At 42.5% G+C, this 20681-nt stretch overlaps 1 protein-coding gene across 1 annotated transcript; it reads right to left on the bottom strand.

Moving 5' to 3' along the window:
* Positions 1-4354: 4354 nt before the first annotated feature.
* FAM181B (family with sequence similarity 181 member B) lies at positions 4355-8279 on the bottom strand. The gene has a single exon (NM_175885.4). It carries the CDS (start codon positions 8142-8144, stop codon positions 6864-6866), a length of 1281 nt encoding a protein of 426 aa, NP_787081.2. The 5' UTR covers positions 8145-8279; the 3' UTR covers positions 4355-6863.
* Positions 8280-20681: the final 12402 nt, after the last annotated feature.

Below are 20681 nucleotides of genomic sequence, written 5' to 3' on the forward strand. Positions count from 1 at the left end.
TCATCTCACAGAGGAACATTCTGGTTACACTTTATGGGCAGAACAAATGATCAAAGCATGTCACCAATATCATCTATGCTTTCCATAACATGCGCTGCTTCAAGAAAAATAACTCTGCCCTTTGGCTTGATAAAAATACTGGTATGGTTATTTTTGCCATATACATAATTCCTGCTGCAATTAAGATTCCCACACAAAAGGGGGTCTCTTTGTATAATAGGTCCTTAACAAATGGGAGCATATGATTATATGACCATTTGACATTTCGGGTGAAGCTCAAGTGACAAGGTGAGTGGAAAGTCCCTTATTTAATTCTAAAGTTCCATAAAATTCATCCAGTCATCATGGGTTACACATTACTATTGCCAGATTCCAAAAAGTGATAAGAAAGCAGAGGCAAGTACCTGCCTCCAGTAAAGGAGGCAGAGGAATAACAAATGACTACTATAACAGTGTGATTAACTGCTCTCAGAACCTGGGGTCTTTTAGTGTGATAGAAGATTCCAAAGTAAAGGTGCTTAATTGATTCAGGGAGCTTAAAACAGAAGGTAACACTTGGGCTAAGAATGAGAGGCTCAGTAAAAATTAGCAAGCAGAGAAAGTCAAGGAGTGAATTTATGAAGGTAACATGGATATTGAGCATTAAAGCACCTACAATTAGTACAAAATTTCTGGAACACAGGTACTATTAGGAGAGTGGTAAATGAGAAAAGAGAGGCCGGCTGAAGCCACATTTCTAAGCAAAGTCTTTACCCTAGAAGTAACAGGGAGCCATTGAAGGATTTTAAGCAAAGAAGTGAAGACACCAGAATTGCTTTTTAGAAATATTACCTCAGCGAGCAATGGGAAGAATGGTTGAGAGGATTGTGAGCCCAGAGACAAGGAGGTCATTAGGCAATCATGGTACTAGATTAGGTGAGGGGTAATGAAGGCCCAAACTAAGGAAGTGGCATTGTAAAGGAGTAGAGGAGACAGATGAGAGTTGCTTAGAACAGTGTCTTTCAAACTGCAGACCCAACCTATCAGTGAGCCATGAAATCAGCTTAATGAATAATAGCCAGGTTTTATTAACAAATGGAAAATAAACTATCAGTGTAACATATAGCTTCTTAGAAAGAATCTGGGCTCTGTAAAAAATTTTCAATTATATATGAAAACATAATTGAGTATTAATATAGATTATAATAATATTTCCACTATTCAATATGGGGATGTTTGTCTGAATATGGATTTATATAAACATGGTTATGAATATATTGACACATAATGTCCAGTGAAGTTTTTCTGAAGGTCATGGATAAAAGTATTTAAAACACACTGGCATAGAAGGTAATATGAAATAGGTCTTGGTAACTATTTGAACAGGATGGGACAGGCTAAAAGAGTATGGCGAGGTTGACTGTGGCTAGTCAGTTTGTGCATGTGTTCGATTTTGGGCACAAAGTTTGAGGAGTTTATGAGCCCCAAGAGACTCTATCTAGGAAAGAGGCAAGTAATGGGTCTGGGACAGAAGAAAGAAGCCAAAGTTGCAGGTATAGATTTGAGGGTCACTGAAACATTAAGAATAACTAATCCCTTGGGAAAAGACACTAACACCCAGAAAGAATGTATGGAGGGCAAAGAATACAGGACAGAAGTGAGGGAACCCTGGGTCACACCAATGTATAAGGTCACATCAGTGAGGAAGAAGGCATGGCCAGGAAGTTATGAGGAAAACCAAAAGCAAATGAGATATCAAAAACCCAAAGAGGAGAGTTTTAGGGAGACAGAGCCCAACTGTTTAAATGTGGCACAGAAGTCAAAAAAACTGAAGTCTGGCCGGGGGCGGTGGCTCACGCCTGTAATCCCAGCACTTTGGGATTACAGGCCGAGGCGGGTGGATCACAAGGTCAGGAGATCATAGCCATCCTGGCTTACACAGTGAAACCCCCTCTCTACTAAAAATACAAAAAAAGAAATTAGCCGGGCGTGGTGGCGGGCGCCTGTAGTCCCAGCTACTCGGGAGGCTGAGGCAGGAGAATGGCGTGAACCCAGGAGGCAGAGCTTGCAGTGAGTCGAGATCACACCACTGCACTCCAGCCTGGGCGACAGAGCGATACTCTGTCTCAAAACAACAACAACAACAACAAAAAACCCTGAAGTCTGAAGACCCCATGTTTGGTAATTGAAGCTTCCACGAGAGAAATTCCTGGGAAATGGTAGGGCAGAAATGGCATTTGCCTAGAACTAAGGGATTTCTTGTTATGTGGAACTTCAACGCTAAAACTGAAACAGTCTCAAGCAAACTGGAATGGTTGGTCACCCTAAGACTCAAAATAGTTAAGGTTTATGTAGCAGGTGAGGTAGAAGCAAAAAGTGTAGCTTCTTTTTCAGAGAGTTGACTCTTACGAAAAGATGACGGAGAAATATCTAGGGAGGGATACAGGGCTGAGAGAGCTTTTCACTTACTTATTCCTCTTTGTTCTTTCTTTTAAAAATCATGCTAAACGTTTATTTCTAGCATGAGAGAAAAAAGTGGGGAGCAAGGATGAGGCTGAAGATATGGCCAATAAGGAGAAGATGGAGCAACAGCTTGTCCTCATGAGGCAGGAGGGGCAGGATCCTGAACCATGAGGGCAAGAGAAGGTCCTGCTTGCTGAAGAGAGAAATTGTGTGGAAAAGTGGGGTGGGAAATGGAAGGGTGTCACAACACATGGTCTCCATCTTGTCAGGACCTGGGAGTGAGAGAAGGGATAGGGTGGAGGCTTGAATGGAGATGCGCAAAGGTTTGGGACATGAGGAGGATACAGGAAGACACTAAAACACATTCCAGGTACCAAGGAACACCCAGCTGAGATGGAGGATCATGACTATGAGGCATGCAAGCATAATTATTATTACCACGTTAGGATACCCAGCCTGTTCAAAGCCATACCAGCCTGTCCAAAGCCATACAACTACACGCATATTATAGCATATTTCTAGTCTTGAAAAATACCTACCATTGCACTTAAAAAGAATTCTTGGCCAAGCGTGGTGGCTCATGCCTGCAATCCCAGCACTTTGGGAGGCTGAGGCGGGCGGATCACTTGCAGTCAGGAGTTCAAGACCAGCCAGGCCAACATGGTGAACCCCGTCTCTACTAAAAATACAAAAATTAGCCAGGTGTGGCAGTGGGTACCTGTAATTCCAGCTACTCAGGAGGCTGAGGCAGGAGAATTGCTTGAACCTGGGAGGCGGAGGTTGCAGTGAGCCGAGATCACGCCACTGCACTCCAGCCTGGGTGACAAGAGTGAGACACTGTCTTAAAAAAAAAAAAGAATTCTCTATGGGCAGGGATGTGGCTAAGCAAGAGATTTTTTTTAAAAAAAAGATTCTAACAGCTTTCAGCAGAAACTGATATAACAGAGGAAACAATAATTTCAGTCCTTGGCAAAACAATTACTAATGGGCAGTACTTACTGTACTACAGTAAGCGGCATGGTCAGACACATTATGTGCCCAGACTGGAAGGCAAGGTGGGGAGGAATAGGGCTACATAGGGACCTGAGTAACAGGATGGATTGGAACCTTGACATAATGCCAAGCCTTGGTTGTCTGCTACTAAGTACTGCCCCCTTCCTCTTAGAGGATATTTATATATACCCTATGCCAAATCACAATAACGCTTTGTGATCGATCGTTATCCAATTTTTCCAATGCATAAACCATGCTTCAATTTGGTTAAGTTACTCGTTCACTGCAGGTAAATCAGCAGAGATGAGATGCACCTAAGTTGATTTAGCCCCTCCCCTTGGCCTTTCTTATTTGTCACCTATAACAATGAAGATAATAACACCGAAGCACAGGCCTCTGTAGGGAACAAAGGAAATAATGTATATGAAAGCACCAAACACCCCACAGACACTTTCTATATACATTTCTCTAGCATAGTGGTTCTCAACTGGCAGTAATTTTTCCTCCCAGGGAGACATGAGGTAATGGGGATATTTTTCTATTGTCACAACTAAGGCAGTGCTACTGGCTTCGAATGGGTAGAGGCCAGGGGTGCTGCTAAACACTCTACAATGCACAGGATAGCTCCCACAGCAAAGAATTATGACACCCAAAATGTCAATAGTGCTGAAGTTGAAAAAACCTGCTAGTACCATAATACAGGGAACTGGAAACCACACACATGTACAAAGCACAGGAGAGCCTGGCAAGTAACAGGCAGGTCTTGGTATTAGGACACTTGTATATTTGGATCTTGGATCCACCACTTGCTGTTGACAAGCTATTTATCTTACCTGAGCCTCAGTTTTCAAATAGGGATAATGACAGTACTGTATTAGTCTGTTCTCACACTGCTATAAAGATACTACCTGAGACTGGGTAATTTATAAATGAAAGAGGTTTAATTGACTCACAGTTCCACATGGCTGGGAGGCCTCATGAAACTTACAATCATGGCAGAAGGTGAAGCAGCAGGAAGGCACGTCTTACATGGTGGCAGGAGAGAGAGATAGCAAGGAAGTGCCACACTTTATAACCATCAGATCTCATGAGAACTCCCTCACTATCACAAGAACAGCATGGAGGAAACCACCCCCATGATCCAATCACCTTCCACTAGGACCTCCCTCGACATGTGGGGATTACAATTAGAGATGACATTTGGCTAGGGACACAGATCCAAACAGTATCAAGCACCTACATCATGGCAATATTAAGAGGCTCAGTGAGTTAGCTTAAATGCCTGGGATGCGGAAACAATGTTGATATTATTATTAATTAAACGTATAGCAAGCAAAACAGTAGGAGAGAGATAACCTGTTTTACTACACTAGGTAAGAAAGGAGAGGAGAATTAAGAAACATTACAATGACACTATAGTCTTAGTAACAGTCACAGGGTTATTAATGTTTTCCTACTGTGCAAGTGTATCCTGGATTGTATTCACAACAGTTTAGACAAATTAAATCGTTATTAAGTAATATTCTGTTAGCACAATGGAATTAATCACCTTTAACCACTTTGGAAGAAATCCAATAGACATTAGCTTTCTGGAGTTGCAAAAGTTCTTTTCATCATTAACAGTACTCGTTCTATTTCCTGTGGTGCTTTCTTAAGAAAGGCTTTATTCAGAAGAAAATGACTTACTGATAGCATTTAAAGTTGCATCTACCATTGGTTAATACTCATTTTTTCCAGAAATTCTTTTATGAAAATATCACAATACTTTTGATGTGTGCAAACATGAACCTGGATTTTTACACCTCTTGCGGTAACACTCGGTTTTCAACTAACTCACATCCAGATATTCCTGCAATCAATCCTGGGTGCCTTGAAGCCAAGCAGCTCTCCTTTGCAGCATCATCAGAAGGCAGCCTCTCACTCAGATGTTCTGGGCGTTGCTCTCTTCATGCCTTTCTCCCCGCAGTTCTACAGCACCAAGGGCTCCTCTTTTCCCTCCAGCTGCTCACTTCCCACCAGTCTTTCCTCCCCTGCCCCTTAACCAACCTATTGGTGCCATGTGTCCTCTCTGCCACATTCATGGCTGGTAAAAATATTTCTTTTTCCCCAAATCTCCCTCGGACAACAGATCATACTCCTCCCTGCAGAGCCCCTTCAGATTCCATTCATCAGACCTGCTATTCAGGGAACAGAAATTCCTTTGGAAACTTCACACCTTTCTTTATGCCCTTCCGTGGGGAGAGTGTGGGTATAAGGACTGAGGAAACAAAGGGAGGCAGAAACCAACAGAGGTGGAAGGGGAGCTGTGGAAGGAGAGAAGGAGGGATGGTAAAGAGGATGTACAGCTTGTAAGGGAAAGGGCAATCACCAGGCAAGTAGATAGCCCCCCGCCAAAAAAGGCATGGGACTCACAACTCTGTTTCCGTGTGTAGAAACCATTTATATATACACAGCAGAACCAATCAAGCACTGCCACAGCCTCAAGACATTTTACTTATTTCCCTCTGAGCTACCCAACCAGTTGTGAAGTGAGTAGAAGAACATTACCGTCTTCACCCTCTCAGATCACGAAAATTGATACAAAGAGGTTACAGTTTGCCCACCCTCTCCCTCCCAAAGTGGCTGGAAAATGGGGAAAAGACAGGAGAGAAATGGAACCCAGGTTTGCCAAATTTAAGTCTCCTACAAAAGAGATGTGCAAGAAAAGCCGGCCGAAAGAAATAGAATAATGAGAGGCCAGGCAAAGAAAGAAGGAAAGTAAGCACTGGGACTGTGATAAGGGTGGAGGGAGATGGAAGCAGGAAGCGGGCAGAAAAAAGAGTTAAACCGTGACAGAAGAGAACCCTACCCAAGGACAAGCACAGGAGGTCAGCAGTGGACCACCGGCCTCCTCCCTCAGCCACAGGCTCACCTAACAAAGCTAAGCGACCAGACGGAAAACCGTCCTGTAAGAAAACACCCAAATCAGTAAGTCTCACCTCCATTCTTTTCAATATAGGCTTTAATTCAAAATGCACTCAAGGAGAGGGAAGGGAGGGACTAGGACACTGTTTAGAAGGGGTAATTACACTAAATACACTGACCTTCGCTGAAAAATAGAAGGGACAGGTGGCTACAGAAGCCAGCTCTTACCCCTTTTGCCGTCCCCACCCCATACCCCAAACCATCTTGGTTTCTTGACTCCTCTGGTCCAGTAAGAACCTACAAACGTGTTTGTTTGTTTTTGTTTTAACACTTGAGGTTGTGATTAAACAATCCCCAACTCGTCTTCATCTCTTTTTTCTGAAGTTGCTTTTATTAATTGAATTTTTAAAAATCTGGTTTCATCTCCACGTGCATTTTCCCATCGTTCTTCAGATTTAGGAGAAACCCACGGAGGCGCGGCGCTCTCCACAGCCGTCTCTAATGAAGGGAAGCGTGCCTCGAAGTCAGTCCCGGTGCGCCCCCTCCTCCCCCGGCGCCCCTTCCCAAACCCCGTCGGATCTCCAAAGGCTGGAATAGGCGGTGCGGCTGTAGCCCGCGCTGTAATCGTAGGACACCTGATGGGGCGGCGGCGGCGGGGGCAGGGCGCAGTCTGGAAAGAAGGGGGCGAAAGAGGCCAAATGGCCCCGCCCGTCCTCCCCGCCGGGAGAATCCGCAGCGGCGGGGTACAGGGGGCTCAAGGGCTCGTTCAAGGTCAAGCCGCCGCGGGGGGCAGTCAGGGGGCTCTTTTTGGTCGGGGAGCAGCCCGGGACGCTCCAGGGCTCGGGGTACAGTAGGTTTCCCACCACTGCCGGCGGCGGCTCAAAGAGGCCGGGCTCCAGCTCCGGGGGTCCCCGCAGTACGGAGGCTCCGGCGGGGAACACGTCGAGAGGCTCGGCGGCAAGCAAGACTGCCGCCTCCGTGCCGGCGCCGTAGTCGGGCCCCAGCAGCTCAAAGAACTCCACGGCCTCCGCGCCCTTCTCCAGGTCGCCCAAGCTCACGTCCGGCCCCGACGGGCCACACCCGCCGCCGCCTGCCCGGGACGGCTCCGTGAAGAAGGACGGAGGCAGATTGCGTGCCCGCAGCGGGACCTTCCTGGCCCCTGGGATCGCCGTGGCCCCCGCGGGGCCTGCCACGTCCCCTCCCGCGCCCCCAGTGCCCGCACCTCCTAGCCCGGCCGCCGGCGCAGCCACCTCACCCCCCGCCGGCTCGGCACCCCCGGGGACGTGGCGCAGCGAGTCGAAGAGCGCGGCCAGACTTCGGCTTTGCAAGCTGGCGGCCGCGGCGGCCTGCGACGCCTCCCGCCGGGGGGCAGCCTTGCCGTGGGCCGGGGCCGCGACTGTCGGGGCGCTAGGGGCGGCCAGCGGCCGTTTGGCTGGCGTGTCGGCGGCGCTCGGGGAGGGCGGGCCGGGGGGCGCGGCGCCCATGAGGCCGCTGCAGCGCTTGATCTGCTTCTGCAGGTACTTGCGGTGGTTCACCTTCCGCTTCGACTTGCCCGGCTTGTCCAGCGCCAGCTTGATGTTGCTGGACGCCGAGTCAATGAAGCTGAGTAGATCGCGGGTGGCCTCGCGCACGTCCCCTCCTTCGGCTCCCGACAGCAGCGCACCCGCCGGAGCCCCGGTCTCATCGTCCTCGAAACAGCAGCCCTTGTCCAGGGCTCCGAAGGCGCCCCCTAGCCCGTCCGGGGAGCCCCCGAAGCCGAAGGGCACGAAAGGGTGCGTGCTGAGGAGCGCCGCCTGCACCGCCATCGCCGCGGCTCCCGGGCTGTCCGCAGCGCTGCCCGTGCGCCCCCGCCAGCTCCTGCCCGCCGCCCAGACCCAGCTCCCGCCCCGGCGCGGCGCGCGCGGCGCAGCCTACTAGTTCCGGGCCTGGCTCGCTGCGCTGCCTCCCGGGGGAGCTCATTAGGTCTTGTAAGCAAGGGGCGGAGGGAGGGAGCGCGCGGCGACCGTCCCGGTGGTAGAGGGGAGGGGCTTACTTAGCCTGGCTTGGAGGAGTGGGGGGTCGCTTTAGTTTTCTGAGCTTTCTGAAGCTCAACGCCTTAACTCCTTCGTTTCCCTTTGCCCCGTGGTGTTTCTCTTGACTCCTCTAACCGCAAGGGGTGAGGAAGAGATGGCTGGTCTCAAACTCCAGTTCAGGCCCATGAGGCCGCTGCAGCGCTTGATAGGCTTCTGCAGGTACTTGCGGTGGTGCCTCTCCTGAGGCAAGAAGGCAGGAGTCTAGAGACGTGGGTTTCAGTCCAGCTGTATAACAACACCCACCAGCTTCTGGGCGCTTGCTTCTGCCAGGCGCTGTCCATCTATTATCTCATTTAATCCTTGAACAACAGCCCTGTGAATTACATGTTATCGCCATTCAACAAACGTGGACACTGCACCTCAGGGAGGTTCAGTGAGTTGGCCAAAGTCAGATCTAGCCCATTCTGACTCCAAAGCCATTCCTAAGCCCTTGACAATACTTGCGTCCTCTCTTGCCCTTGCCTTTCTCATCTATTAAGATGGGGAAGGAAAATGAGTATTTCTTAAAGCTCTAGACCTGATCCTAAGATTCTAACCTGAGTTTTCCCAGGATTCTCAAGCCCAGTGCTCTTTCTTCTTGACTGTTTGCCACTTGATTGTTACGAGTAACAATTGGCTAACAGTAAATTGAGGCCAGCAGTGGCCCATCTTTTATTAACACATAGCAGGAGGCAATGGAGAAAGGAGTCGATCTGGCTAAGCCCCCTGTTACTTGAGAACACTGTGTGTGTATAAAACTCTCAGCATGTTAGAATAAAAGATGGATTGGAACCTCTCCCCTACCTGTCATACCATTTAGGTTATCCCTGGAATTTTCATTGCATTTCAGGGATCATCATGAAGTTCACTTAAAACTAATTTCACCTGGGCAATCCTCTTTGGGATAGATAGAGAAAATGAGCAATAAGGTCATTTTCACAAGAGATTCAGAAGAGGCTTGGGTTCTGGTCTTAGCCACCACTCAATAACCTCATGACTTAGGTTGAAATCCTTGCTCTGCTGAGTGCATGGCTTTAGACAAACCAGCGTACTCTCTCTGTTTAGCTTACTCATGTTAAATGCAGGTAAAGTTGCCCTCCCCACAGGGCACTTGTGATATTTAAATGATACATTGTTCCATAGCCTGGATGAGTATTCACCCTTACTTCTCTGAAACACAAAAAGGTGACTATATCCCTTACGTGTCTTCTGGATCATAGGGTGTTCATGAGCATTAAGTGAGATCATAGATGCTTCTCAATTTGTGATAGAGCAACAACATCCTGATAAACACATTGTAAGTTGAAAATATTGTAGGTTAAAATGCATGTAATACACTGATTCAAGTTGGAAAATCATAAAGTTGAACCATCATAAGTTGGGGACTGTCTCTATATGAAAACACTGTGTGTGTGATAAAGTGTTCTCTAAATAAGTTACTCTAGTTTCGATACAGAGCTTGCATAGGAGAGACATAGACCATCTCTTTCAAAACTCTTTTTATTAAGCCTCACTTTGTAGATGTAGCGAAACCATTTTTGAACACCATGAAGGCACAGCCTTACCAAAGAAAAAAGGCCAGATGGGCCATCAGAGAAATACAAATCAAAACCGCAATGAGATACCATCTCACACCAGTTAGAATGACGATCATTAAAAAGTCAGGAAACAACAGGTGCTGGAGAGCATGTGGAGAAATAGGAACACTTTTATACTGTTGGTGGGACTGTAAACTAGTTCAACCATTGTGGAAGACAGTGTGGCGATTCCTCAAGGATCTAGAACTAGAAATACCATTTGAACCAGCCATCCCATTACTGGGTATATACCCAAAGTATTATAAATCTTGCTGCTATAAAGACACGTGCACACGTATGTTTATTGTGGCACATAGCAAAGACTATTATTCACATAGCAAAGACTTGGGACCAACCCAAATGTCTATCAGTGATACACTGGATTAAGAAAATGTGGCACATATACACCATAGAATACTATGCAGCCATAAAAAAGGATGACTTCATGTCTTTTGTAGGGACATGGATGAAGCTGGAAACCATCATTCTGAGCAAACTATCGCAAGGACAGAAAACCAAACACTGCACAGGTGGGAAATGAACAATGAGAACACTTGGACACAGGGTGGGGAACATCACACACCGGGGCCTGTCGTGGGGTGGGGGGATGGGGGAGGGATAGCGTCAGGAGATATACCTAATGTAAATGACAAGTTAATGGGTGCAGCACACCAACATGGCACATGTATACATACGTAACAAACCTGCACATTGTGCACATGTACCCTAGAACTTAAAGTATAATAAAAAAGAAAGAAAGAAAAAAGGCCAGATGAACATTTTTCATTTAGAAGATGAAGTAGCCACTTCCCAAACCCACATAGCTGAGCCAAACTTTTTATTTTAAATTCAAATTGGCTCAATTATCATGGACTTTTCATTTGAGTTACACACAGCATTTTGTCCTCCATGGCCGAACTGTCTGTTTTACTCTTGGTGGTATTCACATTCAGAAAATTGTGCAGACCTGTCACTGATTTGTGCTTCTTCCACTCCAGATGTGGATGTCAGCACTGCCCATCCCCTTTCCAACAGGGCCATTCCATAGGCTTCCAGGTCTGGCAGCCAAAAGCACTAACTTTTTTTTTTTTTCACCTTCTGTCAACTGAGCACTCTTACAAGTCCTTGGACACCAATTGCACAGTACTCTACATTTAATCGACATCTTATTCCGAAAAAACTCTTAATCCCCAGGGTTATCTAAATCCTAAAATCATATTCAAAATAAATGGAATATGAAAAGCTTCATATGTAAAAGTCTTTCTTCATTTCTATTGGAGTTCTGCACATCAAAGTTGATTTGAAGTTAGATGAGGCCAGGTTCAAATTCTGGCCCTGCCTATTGCTATTGAACTGCTTGGACAAGTCAGTTCATATTCCAAAGGCTCAAACTCCTTATCTGAAAAAAGGGAATGGTCATAATTGTTCTCAGGGTGAGAATTACATGACATAACAGGCAAGTAATGCCTCTGAATCTTACTTTTCTCACCTGCACAGTGGAGATAATCTCAACTCCTCAAGGTTGTTGTGAGATGGTATATATAAAAGCACCTCACACAAAATAGCAGTTCAACAAATGTCCATGTTCTTGATTCCTTAGGCCCCACCCATTCCTTACCAACACATTACCCTATGAAACCAGCATCATTTGTCCTTTCCCTCAGCAAAGTGAGTGACTATTTTCAAATGCAAGAGAGTAGCTATACTTGGGGGTTGTAGAAACTTACAAAAAGACAATGAAATACAGGAGAGAGAGTGCTAAAACTGGAGCCGGAGACTGACACTGGAGTCCAGTCCTGCCTTTATTATCTGACTGCCTATGGAAAAGTCACTTAACCTTCAGGACCTCGATGTTCCCATCCATAAATGGGGAATAATAACATAATCCTATTTGATAGGGCTATTGTGAAAATCAATAAGATAATGGAAATTGAAGTTTTTGTAAACCATGGAGCTGAAATTCATGGCTTAGAAGTTCTATAGCCTGATTCACAAAATTGATCCTTACAAATAAATATCCATCCAGTCACTGATTTTTTCCAACAGAAAGATATTGACACCCACAATGTGCTCAGCGCTATGCTAGTACTGGGGATACAGAGATAAGAAGCCATGATTTCTACCCTTTGGGTGGAAAGACAAATATGCAAACAAGCCATTGTAATATAATGTGATACATGTCCAATGGAAGTAAAAGGACCCTCAAGTCTGCCCACAGGAGTTGGAGAAGGCTGCATAGACATGCAGCATTTGAGCTAAGACTTAAATGATATATCTGACTGTGTAAAGCAAACACACAATATCTGTGGCAGAGAGAACAGCCTGGGCAGAGGCATGGCTAAATGAAAGCAGTGGTGTTTATGGGAAAATGTAGGCAATAGGGCAACAAAGAACAGCTTCTGCTTGAAGTAATTCTATACCTGAGACCAAAATAAATCCTTAGAGCTTCCACTGTCCAACTAAATTGTACATATAGACCCAGCCTCAAGGCCTTGGCTGCTTTTTCCCTTGATCTCCTTTCCTTTGAGGAAGAGCTCTATCTGGAATGAAATTGGTTTCAGTAAAGTTAGTAGCCAGCTCTAGCCAAGCCCATCAGTCCCTCCTCCTACTCCCTGAGTGAGCACATTCATTTGAGTGGCTTTGACATCAATACATTTCACTTCCTATGGAGCAGAGGGACCCGGCTCCAGCCTGCAGTAGGGGCTCTCTGCAGAACTCCAAACTAGAGCTCTTTCACCCCAGTGACGCTTAATGCTGTGCAAGTGGGATTAGTCTCCTTGGGAACCAAGTCCCCCAGGGGCTCAAGGGCTGAACTCGCCCCAAACCGTTTGGGAGAATTGAGATTTCATATTGTTCTTTTACACTTGGATTTCAGGACATTACTTAGACAAAAGCCCACCTGAGAGCTGCCTCCTTTCTTGTGGGTAAATATAGCAGCAGGATCAAAAGCTGACTTATTTATTTTGTTTTCGTCTTTTGTAACTTTAATCATATTCCCTGCAGGACAATCTTAGCCCTCAGAGATGTCAGGAATGTACATTCATAATGAAAGAAATAATTATGCATCTGTTTTTCTCTCCCTTCCCAAACCAATTTCCTGTCATTCATTATTTTTTAAATCTCGAATAAAGCAAATTAATTCCTGAATTTTACCACATGACTTATAAAGTATCATTATCATCATCACAATAGAGTGTTACCTTACAAATTGTGCACCCTCACAAATGTCTCTTGTTTTCTTTCTTATCGTTTTCCCCTGCAAACCAGATTCTACTAACACTAGATTTTAATTTATGTCTTAAAATATTAGATGTTATTCTGGTTATCTATAGTTATATAACAAATTACTCCAAAACTTAGTGGCTTAAATCAACAACCATTTTATTACATCTCACAATAATATGGGTAAGAAATTTGAGGAAGAGCTGGCTAGGTGATCCTCCTGGTTCATGTGACGTTGACAATGGCTGGCCTGGAGGATTCAACATGGCATCATTCACATGACTGCACCTGCACCTACACATACTGGCCTCTCCAGTATGTTGGTCTAAGAGTACTCAGACTTCTTATGTGGAGCTTCAGGAATACTGGAGGCAGCGCTGCAAGAGGCCCATGTGGCACCTGCCAGGCTTCTTATGACCTAGCCCAAGAATTCCCAGAATGTCACTTTCACAACTTCCTATCGGTCAGGCAAGTCATTAAGGCCAGCTCAGATTCAAAGGAAGGGAAATTAGAATTTACCCCTTAATGGAAGAAAAGACAAAGAATTTGTTTGGTATGTCTCTTAAATCTCTTTTAATATATAACCACATACACTTACTGTTTTGTTTTCTTTGTGATTTGTTTGTTGAAGAAACTGCATCTTTATCTTGTCAACTTTCCCACATTCTGTACTTGGTTGGTTGCATCTGTCTCTACGATGCCACCTAACATGTTTCTATGGTCCATGTGTTTCCTGTAAATGAGAAATAGTTGTAGAGGCTTGATCAGATTCATATTCTTTTTTATGCTGTTTTATATATGTGCTACAATATGTGCAATAGTTTTGGAATAACAATGCCAATATTCTTACAAACAACACAACTACTACAAACAGTTTAATTCCTTTTTCTTTGTCATTCACATTTTTTGTCTTCAAAACCTATCCCAATAGGGATGAACAGTCCAGTTACTATGTTTCAAATTCACTTTAAAAACCTGTCTCTGGTTGGCCAGGCATGGTGGCTCACGCCTGTAATCCCAGCACTTTGGGAGGCCGAGGGGGGTAGATCATGAGGTCAGGAGTTCGAGACCTGCCTGGCCAACATAGTGAAACCCTGTCTCTACTAAAAATACAAAAAATTAGCTGGGAGTGGCGGCGCACGCCTATAGTCCCAGCTACTTGGGAGGCTGAGGCAGGAGAATCGCTTGAACTCGGGAGGCAGAGGCTGCAGTGAGCCGAGATCGTGCCACTGCACTCCAGCCTGGGCAGCAGAGCAAGACTCCATCAAAAAATAAAAAACAAAACTATCTCTTGTTATGCCACCCCCTCAATGCACAATCAGATTCACTTGTTTTACTTTGCTTTGTATGAAAATAGCTTTATAAATCTTTAATTTTGTTTTATAATTTTTCTACAGTTTACATGGTTTCAAAGTCAAAACTGTGTCACAAGATATATTCAGGAAGGGCTAACCTCTATCATAGTTACCTCCACAATTTTCTCCTCACCTCCTAGAGTTAATCATTGTTGTTTTGTTTTGTTTGGGTTCAGGCCTATAATTCATTAACTCAGTCATATTTTCATTATACAAACTTTCCTCTAACTTGTTCTTTTCACTTAACGATATATCTTCCTTCCTTTTTTTTTTTTTACAGTGTGTAGTATTCCATTGAATGGATCTACTATAGTTTATTCAACTAGTCCTGTTTTGATTAACTTACTTGGAGGTTTTACAGACCTTTTATATTATAGATAGTGCTACAATGAATAATTTCAATGTAAAATCAAGATTTACTAACTCCTAGTCTGTTGCTCCTTTTATACTATTGGTGTAGTTCTGAAAATAAGGCATATACTAATTTATATTTTATTTGTCCTTTCATTTACTTAATAAACATTTATTAAGTACAGATTATGTGTCAGGAAGTGGTAATAATTTTGGGGGAACACAGAGATGCATAAAGTCAGTTCCTATCCTCAAGAAATTCATAATCTTACAGACAATGCAGACTCATCTTCAATAGAATGCAAAGCCTTAAAAAATAAGGTGTGAATGAATCATTGTGGGTTCAACAGAAAGAGAAATTCACTCAGATCAAGGAAATTGGGAAGGAGACATGGATAATGTGACATTTGAATTCAACTCTCAGGAAGAGAAGAATTTCCCAAAGTATATAACATAAATAAGACATATAGGCCACATGGAGGCTTAGAAATGATATATGTCCTTAGGATTTTTAAAAATTTCTTACAAAGAGAATCATTTCATATATTACTTATTTATATCTATCACATGTTTAGTCAAAAATGTTAATTTTTCAAAGAATATGGATGGCATTTTCAGTAATTAATAAGTACTTCTGTGTTTGTGTTTGTGTTTATGTTTATAGGAAAATAGTGGGAGACAATGCTAACTGGGCTAGAACTATTAAAGATACTGAATGCCAAGCCACAAATGTATAATCAACATTAAACTCTAAAGTATGTCTCTGCCTTTCTGTATCTCTTGAGAGATATTGGGTTTGGTTTATGCCAAAGGAAAATAAGATCTGGAGAGAAAATATCTGGGTTTAAGTTTCAGATCTACTGTTTAAAGTGAATCTTATTTATTTATTTATTTTATTCTGCTTTATTTCAGAAGGAATTTTAGGCCACTTATAAGGGTACATAAAATGCAATAAGATAACACAAATTAAAAGCAGGATGACAACCTAATGCTCAAATATTGTTTCCTAATACCATTCTCCAATAAAAAAGAGCTAGAGCTCCTAGGATAACTGGTTGATTCTGGACTGGGGCAGGGAATATACAAGATGATCCTGAAACATCTAATAGTTCAAGGAAGCAAGGAAGTGCTCAAATCAGAAAACAATGAGGGTATGTCAAAGTGATACAGGAGCCAACTAAAAGAACTCCTTAATGACCGAAACTAGGACAATTTGAGCCACAGAATAAATAATGGGCTACAGAATTATAAGCCAAAGATAAAATAAATAAATGTGTCCATACTAATACAGACAAATGATGGAATAAATACATGAGAGAAAATAGAACATCTCCCATGCAAAAAAATTTCAAGTAACTTAGATACTCTGCTCTTAAGAGGGTGAATCATACCTCCCCACTCCTTAAATGTGATCTGTGCATGATGACTTCCTTCCAAAGAGTACATTATAAAATGAGAGAAAAGAATGACTTTGCAGTAGAGAAATCTGAGAAGCACCATTCAGCCAGGTGATCAAGATTAATAGCAATAGCGATGTTATGTTGATAATATCCTTAATAGTATATGATGAAAGTGAAATTTTATTTCTCTGGCCTTTCCGAAAACCTATTACTCCCATCTAATCATAAGAACATCAGACAAATTCCAATGGAGAGGCATTCTACAAAATACCTGACCAATCCTCCTCAACACTACTAAGGTCATCAAAAACATGGAAAGTCTGAGAAACTCTCACAGCCAAGAGGAGCCTAAGACATGATGACTAAATGTAATGTGGTATCCTGAACGGGATCCTGGAGCAGAAAAAGGATGTTAGGTGAGACTAAGAAAATCCGAATGAAGTATTAAGTTGGTGCAAAAGAGATGTTCAACATTAACCTTGTAGGAATTCCAGAAAAAAAGAACAAAGTGGAGGCGAAAAACATTGTCAAAAAAATAAAGCACGGAAATTTTGTAGAACTGAAGAAAATGCATTTCCAAATTAAAAGAACCCACTGAATGCCTAGCAAACTTAATGAAAAAAAGACACCAAAGCACATTATTATAAATGTTTAGAACATCAAGGAATGAGGATAAGACCTGAAAGATTCCAGAGAGAAATAAACATCATGTACAAAAAATAAAAACAAACTAGAAAAGAATCAGAATAATACCATACCTCTCATTAACAGCACTGGAACTTGGAAAACAATGAGGCAATCCCCTTAAAAATCTGAGAGAAAATTATTTCTTACTTAGAATTCTGTAGTAAACCCAATGCTCAATCAAACATGAGGATAGAATAACATTTTTGTTTGCTTGTTTATTGTTTGTTTGTTTTGAGACAGGGTCGCACTTTGTCATCCAGGCTAGAGTGCAGTGGTTGCAAACGCAATTCAGAGACTCTACTTCCTGGGCTTAATGGATCCTCCTACCTTAGCACCCCCAAGTAGCTGGGACTACAGGTGCATGCCACAATGTCTGGCTAATTTTTGTGATTTTTGTAAAGACGGGGTTTTGCTATGTTGCAGAAGCTGGTCTCGAACTCCTGAGCTCAAGTCATCCATCTGGCTCGGCCTCCCAAAGTGCTGGGATTATAGGCATAAGCCATCGCACCTGGCCCAGAATAACATTTTAAGACATGCAATATATTATGAAATTTCCTCTCAGGAAACTTTTCTCAGGGAGCCATTGAATAACGTGCTCCATGAAGAAAATAGAAGAAAAGGGTATCCAGGAAACAGGAGATCTATTGTGGAAAAGAAGCAAAGAGAATTCCCCAGACAATGATAAAGAGAAACATCAGGACAATAGCCATATGGCAAGTCTAGTGACAATCACTCCAAATTGGAACAGGAGAATGTAGTGCTTGAGGAAGGGTGACTCCAAGAAAAATAAATGGAAGTGACATATTTCCTTATGTATTTGATCATAATGATAGGAAGTGGTATATACTCTTGTTGCTTACCCACAACTATCCCATTTTTATTCTTACACAACAGAGTCCATCTCCTTCAGTGGAGGCTAAAAATGTTGGGCAATTGTACTTTCCTTTTAGCAAGACCATGGACATGAGATCCAATCTTGATCAATGGGACATTAAGTCTATCTTAGAATTTTAGGAAAGTCTCTCCTTACCTATATATAAGAAAAAAGAAATAAAGGGAGAGAAAAGGAAGAGGGACGAAGAAGTGTTCCTCTTCCTGCCTTTGGTGTATGGAAGTGATACTTGGAGCTATAATAGTCATCTTATGATCATGAGAGGTTAAGCCTGGAAACAAAAAATCAACATGCTGTGGCTGGCAAAACAGAAATGTGAAAAGCACCTGTATTCATAATGACATTGTAATTGTCACTGAAGTAACCAACCACAAAAAGCCCTAGCTACAGACTTCTTTATCAGTGAGGAAATCTTCTTTAAAAGCTATTTTGTTTAGGTTGGACCTGATGCTACCTGCAATGAAAAGCATTCTAAATTCCATAAGAAGATGCTATCCTTCTATTAAATTGTTTAGGGAAGAATTAATGAAATGTATATGGAAAACTAAGTACCCCCCAAAGAAAATTATTTATTTCAGGCAAAACAAAAAACTGTACAAAAAAATTCAGTAAAATATAGATGAACTGTGGAAAGCGTGTACAGAATAATAAAATAATCATTAAATCAACATCAATTTGATGACTGTTGAGTGTATAATCAACAAGATGCCTTGTTTGATCCAAATATCCAGAACTGTCTAACAGAACCACAAAACATTTGCTCTCATTTCCAATAACCTATAATTGAGAGTTAGGACTTCTAAGTTAATATAAATAGAGAGTGCAGAGAATAAGAAAAATTGCTCAGTTATGGAGTCTGCTTCTGAAGCATTCTGTTTTGATATGGATACACACATGGCAAGAGACTGCATATGATTTCATTACTCTGAGTGAGATAAAATTTTTAATTACTTTTTTAAAGCTGTTTTTTCTTGCTAAATTCTGATTCTTTTTTTTTTATTTTATTTCACTTTCCTAAAACTAGAGGTCTATATTAATGGATATGGGATTTCTTTTAGGGTTGATAAAAAATGTTCCAGAATTAGTGGTAATGGTTGTACAACTTCATGAATATAATTTAAAAAAAAAACACTGAATTGCACACTTGAAAAACAGTGAATTTTATGGCATGTGAATTACATCTTTTTTAAAAAATGGTGGTCCATATGTATGCTGAGTTTCCACTAAGAGGTTCCCATACAAGCCTGGGCAACTTAGCAAGATCTAGTTTCTGCTAAAAAAGAAAGAAAAAATAGCCTGGCATGGTGGTGCACACCTGCAGTCCCAACTACTTGGGAGGCTGAGCCGGGAGGATGGCTTGAAGCTGGAGGATCGAGGCTGAAGTGAGCTATGATCGCACCACTGCACTCCAGCCTGGGTGACAGAGCGAGACCTTGTCTAAAAAAAAAAAAGACTCCCACATGTAAAACTTTGACAAAGATGATCAGGGATGGACACTAGATCTCTAATGAGGTGGAAGTCAGGCAACCATTTGCACTTTTTCTTCCAGGCAATTTCATGGGCTGTGAAGAGTCCCTGGTTCATGTGGGCTGTTAAAGCTGTCCTACATAATGCTGAACAACCAATTCATTAACTCAACCAATGAAATTATCAATTTGCCATCTTAAAATCCTCTATTCACAGAGTGCAGCACTGTTCTGTTATTGCAATGGCCAAGAGAAGTTAGGCATTATCCCATTTTCAAGACCACAAAGTCCAGTCTGTAACTGAAAAAGTACAAGGGATTGTGGCAACACAGACAATAGAGGAGAATCTGGCTAAAAGATGAGAGAAAACTTCACACAGGCTTGAAGGCTGGAGAGGAAACTGCCATGGGGGAAAAAGGGGAAAGGGCATTTCAGGTGAAAATACAGCCAGGTCACAGAAGACACAGGGGTAGGAGACAGAATGCATTAGCAGAAGAGTGAGATGCTCCCCTAGAATATGGTTTGCATGGATGGAAGTGGCAGGAGAGGTGGCCAGGGTCAGATGAGAAAGGGCTTGAATGCCATACTAAAACTTTTTGGCATTCAGTATTACCGTGATACCAAAACCAGACAAAGACACATCAAAAAAAGAAAACTACAGGCCAATACTTCTGATAAATATTGATGAAAAATCCTCAATAAAATACTAACAAACTGAATTCAACAATACATTAAAAAGATCATTCATCATGACCAAGTGGGATTTATCCCTGGGATGCAAGGATGGTTCAACATATGCAAATCAATCATATTGATTGATACAGCATATCAATAGAATGAAGGGTAAAAACCATATGATCATTTCAATTCATGCTGAAAAAGCATTTGATAAAATTCAGCATCTCTTCATAATAAAAACCCTAAAACAACTGAGTATAGAAGGAACATACCTCAACATAATAAAAGCCATATATGACACACTCACAGCTAGTATCATACTGAATATGAAAATCTTTCCTCTAAGATCTGTAACATTACAAGGATGTCCACTTTCACCACTTTTATTCAACACAGTACTGGAAGTCCTGGCTACAGCAATCAGACAAGGGAGAGAAATAAAGGACATCCAAATAGGAAAGGAAGAGGTCAAATTATCCATGTTGCAGACTATATGATCTTCTATTTGGAAAAACCTGAAGACTCCACCGAAAAACTATTAGAACTCATAAACGAATTCAGTAAAGTTGCAGGATACAAAATTAACATACAAAAATCTGTAGCATTTCCATATGCCAACAGTGAAAAATGTGAAAAACAAATTTAAAAATGTAATCCTTATAA

The sequence above is a fragment of the Homo sapiens genome, chromosome 11, assembly GCF_000001405.40.
Source record: "Homo sapiens chromosome 11, GRCh38.p14 Primary Assembly".
In the NCBI taxonomy this organism is placed as follows: Eukaryota; Metazoa; Chordata; class Mammalia; order Primates; family Hominidae; genus Homo; species Homo sapiens.